Source organism: Homo sapiens, chromosome X (assembly GCF_000001405.40).
Source record: "Homo sapiens chromosome X, GRCh38.p14 Primary Assembly".
NCBI classification, from domain to species: domain Eukaryota; kingdom Metazoa; phylum Chordata; class Mammalia; order Primates; family Hominidae; genus Homo; species Homo sapiens.
In genome coordinates this window covers 18,161,733-18,174,744 of record NC_000023.11, presented here as the reverse complement: position 1 = coordinate 18,174,744, position 13,012 = coordinate 18,161,733, and the positions used below count along the sequence as shown (strand labels likewise).

At 38.9% G+C, this 13,012-nt stretch overlaps 1 protein-coding gene across 5 annotated transcripts in view; it reads left to right on the top strand.

Annotated features, from left to right (window-relative positions):
* Nucleotides 1-11,814, top strand: part of BEND2 (BEN domain containing 2) — a 57,956-nt gene extending 46,142 nt beyond the window's left edge. For 3 of the 5 annotated variants that reach the window (XM_017029266.2, NM_153346.5, XM_011545447.2), the window contains 3 exons: nt 487-715; nt 3,541-3,744; nt 9,522-11,814. In XM_017029266.2, the coding sequence (XP_016884755.1) occupies nt 487-715; nt 3,541-3,744; nt 9,522-9,736 (648 nt within the window). In that variant the 3' untranslated portion in view covers nt 9,737-11,814. Of the gene's footprint in view, nt 1-486; nt 716-3,540; nt 3,796-9,521 lie in introns of those variants that run through there. The other 2 variants (NM_001184767.2, XM_017029267.2) reach the window with 1 other exon arrangement.

The window sequence follows — 13,012 nt, the reverse complement described above, 5'->3', positions numbered from 1 at the left end:
GCTCCCCACTCCCATCACCAGAGATTCTGGCTGAATTTGCCTAGGGTGGGGCCCAGCACAACCATTTGTTTTTACAGATCCTGAAGGTCATTCAAATGGGCAGCCAGACTTGAGCTCCACTAGGGAAAAAGAATACAAACAAAACATGAGAAACAAAAAGTGGTCATCCCCAAGAAACTCACTGCTTTGTTTATTTGTGAAATGTTTATTATGTGCCTAATTTGTACCAGCAGTTCTCATTGAGTTCCTTAGACAGAGCTACAAAATCCTCCAAGGAGCAGCAGGTCATGACAGCTTGCGGAAGAAGCCACCCCTTTCCTTCTTTCCAGATAGTATTGCGACACACAGTATTCCTATGGCTTCAGCCCACCTTTTAAAGAGTCAGTTGCTTCCCTAGCAACCTGGTGGGCCTGGTAGGTGGTAGAGCACAGACATATTTTCTTGCTGTGGGACTTTGTTTACGGATATGATTTTGTGTTTCAACAGAAAACTGTTCGCAAAAATAAAAAACGTACCAACCGTGTTGCATCGGCATCTGCAGATAGAAATGACCAAAGGGGCAGAGATGGTGGTGAAGGCTGTTCTTGGATGTTTCAGCCAATGAATAACTCCAAAATGAGAGAAAAGAGGAACTTGCAGCCAAACAGTAATGCTATCCCTGAAGGAATGCGAGAACCTTCCACTGATAATCCAGAGGAACCTGGTGAAGCATGGAGTGAGTTTTTTTAAAAACTTATATTTAAATAAGTTCTCTTGCTGATAAATGTTGAATCTGAGTGATGCATTTATGGGGTTCATTGTACTATTCTCTCTACTTTTATGTGTGTTTGAGAAATTTCATCAGAAAGTGAAATAATTTAATGTCTTTTATTAATGAGTTAATGAAATATATAGACACATGGTTCTAAGACTGATTGTTATTTTTCCTACGGAAAGTGGCTCTTTGCTGACTCACTGGACTGTGTGAGTTCTGATAAGGCACTGTCCTCTGTGGTGAAGGGGAGGGGCTGCAGCTGAGATGCACTTCTTGTTCTCTGTGTGCCTGGCACATTGCAGGTGCGCAGTAGGATTTTTGGCACGAATTCGTGAATCTCATCTCTCAGAACATTGTGCTCCCGCTGCTAAACTGCTGAAGGCACCTCCTGCTTTGATGGGTGTCAAGTGGCAGTGGTTCAGTAGTGACTGTGCCACCTGCCACTTGTGCTTCCCAATGCATCCTCCCAGGGCGCTGGACTTTAGCATCACCCATACCGATGAGTGATATCTGAAGTAGCAAGACTTTATTCTGTCTGTACCCTGCTCCCATGTTAACCCTAAGTAGAATACTACCTGGGATCCTTTTCAAACGAAATTATTGACATGATATAGCTTTATTTCTTCCATTGTAAAAGTAATCTAACTACTGTATTTGTTAAGATTGTACACTACAGACACAGACTGGATAAATTAAACAACACAAGTCACCAGTTGAATACCTCCTGTATTCAAAGAAGCAAAGAACTGAGCGAGCGTCAGGCAGGCAGGAGCTAGAGCAGCCCCAAGACTGTGAGAACTTGGGCCACATATCTCTAACCCTGACTCAGCTATAACGAGGGGACAGGGCGACTAAGCCCACTGTGAGCCAAGCAGTCACTGCAGTGTGTGTGGAGTCTGTTATGCCATTTTATTTGAAAAATTGGAAAATATTTTTAAGAGGGGGAAAAAAGCTCCCACAATCAAAATACTTTAAAAAACTATTGTGGGCATTTTCATTTTCCTTCAGTTTTTTTTTCCTGTGAACATTTTGAAACATTATGATTCCCATATAATTACTCTCCTTCTCTAATATTATAATATGTATCTATTTTTCCTCAAGAATCTACAATCTTCATAATCATTGCTCTTAATAGGATTATAGCATTCCATTAATTAAGTGCACCCCAATTTATTTAATTGCCTCCCACTTTGTTTCTTTTTGCTGTTGTTGTCGTTTTGGTTTGAGGGTTTTTTGGAAGGGAATTATAAATCAGTCTGCAAAAAAACCATCTTCATTCAGAAGATTTTTTTTTTTTGAGATGGAGTCTCGCTCTGTTACCCAGGCTGGAGTGCAATGGCACAATCTCGGCTCACTGCAACCTCCACCTCCCAAGTTCAAGCGATTCTCCTGCCTCAGCCTCCTGAGTAGCTGGGACTACAGATGTGTGCCACCATGCCCGGCTAATTTTTTTGTATTTTTAGTAGAGACAGGGTTTCACCATGTTGGCCTGGCTGATCTTGAACTCCTGACCTCAGGTGATCCACCTGCCTCAGCCTCCCAAAGTGCTGGATTACAGGTGTGAGCCACTGCACCAGCCCATTCAGATAGATTTTTCCATACTTTGGATTATTAGGTTAGGTTCTTAGAAATTGAATTACCAGGTTAAAGAGTATTAACCTTTTTTTCCTGACCCTTGATAAATATTACTAGGTAAATCTCCCAGAGTTAAGTCTTTGGACCCATTAAATGTGTTTCTAAATAATCTCTCCTGCTAAATGTTGAATCTGGATGATTCAACAGTTTTTATTGCCACCCATTAAATGATGGATGTTCTAAGTTGAAGAATATACTTACTGACTTATAATAATTATATTTTTCTAGTATATTTAACAAATAATTATTATATGTAAAATATAATATTTTTCAAATGTAGTTAATTCGAATAGACTATGGACTGAAGAGAGATGATGATGATTAAGCTGTAGAGTTGAGAAATGAAAAGTCTTAAAACTTATTTTTCATTTCAAATAAGATATCTAAGATACAATATGTAAAGTGAACCAGCAGTGTGTTGATTTAAAATGAATTTAATACTAAATAGAAAACCTACATTTTAAAAATTATAAGTATTTCAGGAAGAATCATGGAGCTTATTTTTGAAAAAGTCCTTCTTGTAAGTAGGGAAACAATGCATTAAATTACTTAGAATTTGTTACTAAATGTAATTTTAAAACTTCTTGTATCCTAAAAGGTAACAAACAGTATATTAAATCTTCCTGTTGAACCATGGTAGCATGTGTAATCACAGTGATTTCTACCTCATTTCTCATGCTGTCTCATAATCCACTAAAAACGTAAGGCTTTAGGCTGGGCACGATGGCTTATACCTGTAATCCCAACACTTTGGGAGGCCGAGGCAGGAGGGTCGTTTAAACCTGGAAGTTTGAGACCAGCCTGGGGAACAAAGTGAGACCCTGTCTCTACAAAAGATACAAAAAATTAGCTGGGTGTGGTGGGGTGGGCCTATAGTCCCAGCTACTTGAGTGGCTAAGCTAAGAGCATTACTCAAGCCCTGGGAGGCTGGGGCTGCAGTGAGCCATGATTGTGCTACTGCATTCCAGCCTAGGAGACAAAGCAAGACTCTGTCTTTAAAATAAATAAAAATGTAAGGCCTTAAATTTTTTAACCTCTCAAATTCTTGAGCCTAACAATTGAGAAAAATCAACGTTTCTGTTTCAGCTTTTAAAAAATAATGCAATCTAACATTTGCTATGAAAATTGACATCTTTCTTTTTTGCTTCTAGGCTATTTTGGAAGACCATGGAGAAATATACGGATGCCATGTTCAGTACTGACTTTGGCAAAAACTAAGTCTTGCGCAAGCCTGTCGGCTAGATACCTTATTCAGAAACTCTTCACAAAAGATGTCCTGGTCCAAAGTAACGTCTATGGCAATCTGAAGCATGGCCTGTGTGCCCTTGACCCCAATAAGATTAGTGCTCTCCGAGGTTTGTTACACATAGAGTATGTCTGAATAAATAAAAGCCAATTGTGTTTAAGAGAAGGGTAGAAAGAAGAATCCATTCAGGTTGTGTTTGTTCTGGGGAGAATGGAACTTAGTAATTACTGAGTGCCTCATTAGAGTACAGCAAGGAGCAAGATCATGAATTGTATTTCTCTCTGCATTTGGGTTCTTAGGGCTAATTGCTCTGTCTTGAATGGCTTTACTAGAACAGGAAAGGGGTTATTGACTGTGGCTCCCTGCTATGGACTGCCAGGGGTATGGAAACTCAAAACACCTTCATTGACTGAGGAGCAAGGTCAAAGCTAAAGGGCTTCATCCATTTGCAGAAGTGTCAACAATAGCACAGAAGGTTAATTTGCTAAGTTTCTTTTGTGCACGTTAGCCTAATATAGTCTCTGACATATGCAAATGAAGTAATAAAGCTTCTAAAAATTTCCTGTGAAATCTTAAATTTGGACAAAGCGGAAGCAAAATATTTCTTACTTGTGTCACTGGCACCCAGCAAAGATGTAGCTCTGATCTCAGGTGGTTCCTACCTTCATATCATACATTTTCATAGCCAACAAATTTGAACAGCACTGGTGTTTCAGAATAAAGAAACCTGGTTTTCAGCTAGCAGCTCTTATAAGCATTTGTTATCATCTAACCCAATTGTTTCAAACTTTTTTTTTACTGCAACCCATAATAAGAACTACATTTTACATTGTGACACAGTACATGCCTCTGTGTGAGTGTGACTTTTAAAAACCAAAGCAAAAATTTCACAAACAGTACTTACTCTATGAGTGTTACATTCCAGTGTTTTCTCTTCCATTACATTTCTTTCAAGTACTGCTATCACTGATTTCACAACCTAGTAATTGGTTACAACTTGCAACTTGAACATCACTGAGCTAACCTACTAGGCAAAAAAACTAAACTCAATTTCCCTTACTTTATGGTTAAAAAAAAAGTTTGTAGGCAATTCTGAAATGAATGTATTTATAGAAGAAATAGTGTCTTTCCAATTACCTTTTTTTAATGTGGGGGAAAATAGGTGACTTTTATAGTTCTTTAATATCTGGAAAAGATTACTTCTTTAAAAGTTGATGAAAAATATTTTCCTAAGCCTTTTATCATTTTATCTCTCACTGAATTTTATTAAAATCTGGAAGATGTCTTTTGCAGTAAACAAATATTCAGCATGAGTTTGACGTATTATTCACATAGGGCAGATTTTAACAAATTTCTCCTAAGACTCAAAGTTCTATTGCTTTGTAGAAGGGCAATCATTTGAGTTATTTCAGCAGAGAGAAGACAGTAGAGTCATTGTTGTCCCAAGGGGCAGAGCCAGCCCCAAGGAGTAGAAGCTGACAAGAAAGTCTGTTTCACTTTAATATAAAGATAAAATGAGCTTGGAGAAGGAAGAGTCAGAGCAAAGGCTGGGTGACCAGATATGAGAGAAGAGACCTGCACTTGTGGGAGGACTGGGCTTATGACCCCTAATATGATTTTTGTAAAAGTACTCCTTCATTCGAAATGAGTTCAAACATACAGAAATGTATGGAAAATAATATAATAAATACCTGTCTACCCCCATCACCGATAATAGACATTTCGTGTTTTGTGTTCCAGGTTTTTGTTTTAAAAAAATAATGAAAGCTTCACTGATATAATTAACACTCCAACTCATCATCCCTTTCCCCTCTCCTGCTCCCCAGAAGTAATCACAGTCCTGGAGTTGGATATATCATTCCCATGCATGTTTTATACTTTTGCTACCTATGTTAATAGATCCATAAATAATATATAATATTGTTCTGTATTTTATTTTATTTTATTTTATTTTTTCTTTTTTTTGAGATGGGGTCTTGCTCTGTTGCCCAGGCTGGAGTGCAGTAGTGTGATCGTGGCTCACTGCAACCCTGCACTCCAGTCCCTCAAACTCATGGGCTCAAGCAATCCTCCGATCTTGGCCTCCCAAAGTGCTGGGATTATAGGTGTGTGCCACTGCACTCGGCATCTGGTTGTTTTAATGTACATAAATGGGGATGTACAGTAATCTTTTTGCACATCTTAAAATCACTCAACATTATGTTTTTGAGATCTGTTCATACATTTGAACTACTGATTCATATCCCATTGAATGAATAAACCAATTTATTCTTCTATTCTAGTATAGTTTCTTACCCTAATATTTTGTTATTTGAGGGAAAAGCTTCTGAAAATTAGTAGTCAAAGGTAACTCTGTCCAGGAGCCAAAGGTGTTGATTTCATATAAATAACTATTATCTGATGCTGTCTGATGAGAGTTCAGTATCACTTAAGGGCTCTTAATTGATAGGGAGGAAGTTAGTAGGCAGATTTGCAATTAGCGAACAACCCTCACTCCTTAAACCCCCATCCATGTCTTTATATTGCAGAACTGTCAAATCTTAGCTATAGGAAATACTTTACAGGCCCTCTAATACAACATCCCACCCACAGCAGGAACTCCTATCTCAGCTTTGACAGAGTCACCTCCCCTGGGCTTGAACACTTCCATTGATGAGGCACCCGCTGTCTCAGCTCCAATTCATGGGAAAGTTCTTCCTTCTAGTGACTCAAAATGTACCTTCCCTTGTAAATCATACACTTTTGTCCTGGTTATCCCTTCTCTACCTAAACAGGGTCAATCCAATCACTTTTCAGAGGTTGGGCCTTCAAGCAGTTAATGACAGCTGTCACTTCCTGCTGGAGCATTAGGAGATCATAAAGACACTCCCTTTTAAGTTCAGAACCGAGTGAGAGAGGGCTGCTCCATTCAGGCAGGTGAAGATAAAAATAGCAGCTTTATTCTTCAATCGTACATGTCCCATTCATCCCAACTTTCCAACATAGAGGTCTCTCCACATGGTAACATGAGGGTTGGGGAGGAAATGTTCTACCCAACCTTTTCCCTCTTAAGCCTTATGCTTTTTCAGTGAAATATTAACATTTCCCTCCAGAATTCCTCACATACGTGTTGCCCTGATCCTTCATGATTTGATTCAATGACTACCTTCAGATGTGCTTAAATACACCCAGGATACAATAGTACAACCTATTAGGCTGTTAATGCAGCCGAAAATGTCACATGCCATTTAAACATTTACGGTCAGGTCGGGCACAGTGGCTCATGCCTGTAATCCCAGCCCTTTTGGGAGTCAGAGGCAGGAGGATGCCTTGAGCTCAGGAGTTCCAGACCAGCCTGGGCAACATGGCGAAACCCTGTCTCTACAAAAAATACAAAAATTAGCTGGGCATACACTAGCTACTAGCTACTCCCTAGCTACTTGGGAGGCTGAGGCAGGAGGATCACTTGAGCCTAGAAGGTTGAGGCTGCAGTGAGCTGTGATTGTGCCACTGCACTCAAGCCTGGGTGACAGAGTGAGACCCTGTCTCAATGAAATAAAATAGAAAAAAATAAAATTTATGGTCAACTAAGACCTCTAGATCTTTCTTGCTATAACTGACATTTATCCAGTACTTATTGTTAGTATTCAGGCTGTTACCATTTATACTGCTAGTACCTTTTAATGTTAATGTAGGAAAAATATAAATATAAATATATTTTTTGCTGCATCATATCTTGTCAGTGTAGGTCAGCATTTCCTGAACTGTGTTTCTCCAATTCAGCTAAATGTTAATAGGTGTTTCATGAAATACCTTTTTTCTTTTCTTTTCTTTCTTTCTTTTTTTTTCTTTGAGACAGGGTCTCACTCTTGCCCAGGCTGGAATGCAGTGGCATGATCACAGCTCAATGCAGCCTTGATCTCCCGAGCTCAAATGATCCTCCCACCTCACACTCTCGAGTAGCTGGGACTACAGGCATGTGCCACCACACCTGGCTAATTTTTGTATTTTTTTGTAAAGATGGATTTCACTATGCTGACCAGGCTGGTCTCAAACTCTTGGGTTCAAGCGATTCACCCGCTTCAGCCTCCCAAAGTGCTGGAATTACAAGCATAAGCCACTGTGCCCAGCCTCATGAAATACTTTTAAAGTCAAACGGCTAGGAAAGACCTTAAGCAAGCACTCCAAGGGCCTCAGTCAATAGATGGGTTTCACTTGACTGTCAGTTTCTTTTATTTTGGAGACAGGGTCTCATTCCCGTTGCCCAGGCTGGAGTACAGTGGCTAGATCATGGTTCACTGCAGACTCGACTTCCCGGGCTCAGGTGATTCTCCCACCTCAGCCTCCCGAGTAGCTAGGACTGCAGGCATGCACCACCATGCCTGGCTAATTTTTTTGTATTTTTAGTAGAGACGGGGTTTCACCATTGTTGCCCAGGCTGGTCACAAACTCCTGAGCTCAAGCAATCCGTTCGTCCTGGCCACTGCGCCTGGCCGACTGTCAGTTTCAAAACTGAATGCCTTTACCCATGAAGCCTGCCTAAATCTCCCAGTCCTGACCCCTGACCCTCTGTTGTCCTATGCGCTGCCACCTCCCTCATTTATGCGTTCCACCAACACGGCTGCATCTGTAACATTTCAATCAGCAAAAGGAGGCTCCACTTATCTTTTCTGTGGGATTTTTCAGAACCCTGAATATGCTTGTGTGCAATCTTAAATCCCCAAGTGGTGACTAGCTGCGGAGGGTAGCATTTCCCATTTGCGCAACTAGAACCTTTTCCCCCAAGAAACTTCTTTTATGACTAGTGTTCCAGAGAACACATTTTGGGAAACACCAGCCAATTTAGGCTCCTTGTTGCCACCTGTTGAAAGCTATGCAAGCGCTGTATTTGTCTTCCAGTGTGGTAATTATCCCTCCCAGCTTTGCTGTTGTGAGTAGTTGGGACAAACATTTTTTCCAGAACTCATTTTTGGTTAATAAAATGTTAGCAGGATAGAGTGGGATACTGAATCCAGTGACATACCACAAAAACCTTTTTCCAGGCTACCGCTGATCCATTAATTAATTAGTCCTTTGGGTACGGAAGCCTTTTAACCTTGACACATGCTTTGCTAAAAAATTTGGATATATGTGATGTTTATGGCATTGTCCTCATTTATTAGCCTATTAACCCTATTGAAAAACAAATGAGATTAATGTAGCTAACTAATGCTAACCTGTAGGGATCACCAGATCTTTTTCCAAGGGCTGAAAGGCACTTAGGCCTTTGATTACCTAATGATGTGTCCGAGGGCAGCCCTGCTCTTCTAATAAACACCTCTCTTCCCTACCTTTCTCCTTGTCTGTCTTCTTACTTTCTCTAAGAGTGCTCCTTGAATTATGTTACTCTGTCACCTTCCCTTTCAGAAGTCTTCCTCTAATTGCAAGATCTAAAGACCCTTATTCCTTTTATCAGAGATAAATCCAGCAGTACCAAAAAAGTTAGCAGTTACAGCTTCTTCCCTCTCAAAGTAGGATGACACTGCAGCCTCTTGTTCATTGCAGAGGCTTAGCATGTCTCTATTTGAGCTGATGAGTGACGTGCTAGACGCTTCTTTGATACTTTTGAGAGTAACAAAAGTTGACCTTGGGTACTCAAGGCAGCAGAGGATTTCTATTCTGGTATGTGGCAAGGTCATGGGAGATTGTTGCTTTATTGTGATTTAAGCATGGTGCTGTTTCATATAGTTCTCTTTTTAGATTAAAAGATTTGTCCAGCTAATTTAATAATGATTATAGCCTATGTGTGTTTAATTAAAGTGTTAATGATCCTTTCACAGTCGCAGTAGTAGAATGAAAGTTGAATGAATTGATTTCTCTGAGAAGTGATTTGCAAGTAACTGTTATGTCTTGGGTCTTTACCATCAGAGTTCCTCCAAGAAAACTACCCAATTTGTGATCTCTCGGAAAATGGAAGAGACTGGAAGTCGTGTGTGACCTCCATCAACAGCGGTATCCGTAGCCTTAGACATGACGTCAGAAGGGCTGAAGCCAGGTCTCAGTCGCTTCCAGCAGTGACCCCTCCAGAGCTGGAGCAGGAGTCAAAGCCAGGAGATCCCGACGCCACTGACCCAAGCACCTGAACGGCAGCTGCCAAACTTTTTTTTTTTTTTTAACTGTTAAGACTATTTTGTAAGTTTCTCAAGTTCTAATTCCAAAATCAGCCTGCTGTACTGGCAGAGTAGTTTGCATTGACACCTGTAGTAATCGCCAAACCTCTTTTTCTGCTCATAAAGGAGGTAGAATCACATTAGGAAGATACGTAATGTTTCATCTGTGGATTTGATGACAACCTCTGATTGAGGGAATGGTAGTAAACTCCTCATGGGCTTGTGACCCATGGCTTTGACTTAGATAATTGACATTAATATACTTTGTTTTTTTGATAAGGTAGAGAAAGAAATTCAATAGAAAGTAAGGAGCCACTCAGTCAAATAATATAATTCGTATAAAACTTGACAAGTCTTTTTATTTTTGTGACTTGTGAGATAGTTTAAGATATTTTTATGTGACCAATTTGTAGAATGAATACATATTTTCAAAGTTATCTTTTCAAAATTCAACTTTTAGAGTATTTTAGCAAAATATATGTATAGTTTATAATATAGAAGTATAGCTTTATAAAGATATTAAGGATTTATTTTTTAAAATAATTCTCTGAATAGTTTGCTGTAGTAGTTGCCTTCAGCTTAATAAAACCATAGTACTTCTACATACATCTTTATAAGTTAGGCTATGCCTACAAAGGTCTTAAAAAGTAGATAATTTACCGGGTGTAGTGGCTCACACCTGTAATCCCAGCACTTTGGGAGGCCGAGACGGGTGGATCACCTGAGGTCAGGGGTTCGAGACCAGCCTGGCCAACATGACGAAACCCCATCTCTACTAAAAATACAAAAAAAGTAGCCAGGCATGGTGGCAAGCACCTGTAGTCCCAGTTACTCGGGTGGCTGAGGCAGGAGAATCACTTGAACCTGGGAGGTGGAGACTGCAGTGAGCCGAGATTGTGCCACTGCACTCGAGCCTGGGTGACAGAGTGAGACTCCGTCTCGGGAAAAGAAAAAAAAGAAGTAGATAATTAAAAAAATCTTGCATAAAAAAAAATCTTCCATAAAGGGCAAAAAGGCTTTAACTTCCATTATTCAGATTTAATCCAACTAAGATAGTCTTTGGCTTCATTCACTGTTCAGTTTCACAAGTTTTTTACAACTACTAGTAACAGAGCTAATACAGAATAGTAATCCACATTATAAACATAGATCAAAATACCACATCATACCCCATAAATACATGCAGTTATTATTTGTCAATTAAAAATAAAATTTTTTTAAAAGAAAAGTACAGTTCGACCCTAGGCAAGAAGAAATTTCAAATTGTATATGCATATTTTGAATTTGGTTTATATTTTGTGGTATCTGAAATATTCCCTGGACTAGAAGCAAAACCACAGAAACAAAACTTTACATTTAGAAAAAAATTTCAAGACTTCTATTGCTAACTTTATTACATTAGTGGTTTTTAGAAGTTATTTAGAGCAGTCTTGTCTGATAGAACTTTCCACCATGATGGAAATGTAAATAAATATACCACATTAAAAATATAAATTTGCAATGTCCAATAGGCTCGTATGGCTATTGAGCATTTAAGATGTAATTAATTAGACAGAGGAAGTAAATTTAACATTTTCTCTCATTTTAGCTAATTAGAATTTAAAGTGAAATAGCCACAAGTGGATAGTGGCTACTGTGTTGGATGGCACAGTTCAAAATGCCTCTTATTTATAAAAAAAAGTGTTTAAAAGTGGTTCCCATGGCTTGAAGAGGAATAATATACACATAACTTCTTTAAAATCACATTTTGTTTGAGATGGAGATCTTGCTATATTGCCCAGGCTTATCTGGAACTCCTGGGCTCAAGAGGGAGGATCACATTTGACTGGACAAAATACATTTTATAAAGGTGTTTTGTATTTTATGTTAAAGTGGAATTGTGTCTTCAAAATTGTGTCTTCAAAATTTCACAAGTTAATACTATTACTGTATTAGTCCAATGTTAAACATTTTAAATGCCTGCTCATAAGACTCATTTTTGATAAATAAATGTATCTTTAATGTTTTGTTTCCCAAATAGATACAATAAATAAACATTTAAAATGCCTTAATACAGATGCTCAGGTTGTTCTTTTAATGAACTCATCTTACAGAACTTTTGCTGATGTTACCTACAGTGGTTTATATTAATGTGACACATATTTTTCAGCCAGTTTATTAAATGTGGCACAGCTAGAATGTTGACTTTCTTCCTTGATAAGCAAAACAGAATAGTTTAACCCAGTAACAGTAATTTACCATGGTAGATATAATTATAAGGCTATTGAAAACTTTGGCAGTACTTTGTCCTTCCTGGGTAAAATCTAAGTGTTATTAACACATGCCATTTTTATGCTTTAATACTTATTTAAATATATGGTAATATTTTCATTTTGGCCAGCAAAGCTAAGATTTTCGGCTCTGGCCTTCAGTTTTCCTTATAGCCCATATCCATATCTAGTGGAGTAATTTCTCCATGGAGTTCTGACAATATTAACTCTTCTGCAAGAGTAAAGCACTTGTCACCCCTTCCTTTCATCCTAACTTATTTTAATTCACAATGCATCAAATTTGCAATGACCTTTCTCACTATGCTAAAAAATATGTTCATCTACTTCAACGTAGAATAATTTGTAATCTCAAATAGCTAGTAAAATCAATTTGGAAAACTGATGGGTGAGACAGGTACAAATCTCAGTCCACAAACACAGGAGGGCAGGAAATCTAACTTTATTTTTCTATAACTACTTAATTTCTATTATGAGCAAACTTAATCTTAGTCATTCAAGGCTTTTGACTTTCCTTGGAAGACAAGAAAACAACCCGGGCCACGAACGGAGGTTGTTTGGGAGAATACCAATGAGTGGTGTTTCCGTCATTTTCTCCAGACTTACTTCTAAGTTCTAGGGGTCTTCTACAATTCCAAACTGGGGAAAGGATATCAGAATCAGATTTTTGTTGTTTTCTGTAGCCATCATCAGTTGAGGTGTGTGTCCCTTGTCCCAGTTGGTCTTCAGTCAGTGGTCCACAGCCATTTTATTTAAAAAAATTCTTAAATATTATTAATATATAAAGCTTTTTTTTTTTTTTGAGACAGGGTTTCACTCTGTCACTCAGGCTGGAGTGCAATGGAGTGATCTCTGCTTACTGCAACCTCCGCCTCCCAGGCACAAGCGATCCTCCCACCTCAGCCTCCTAAGTAGCTGGGACTACAGGTGTGCACCCCCACGCCTGGCTAATTTTTGTACTTTTTGTGGAGATGGGGGTCTT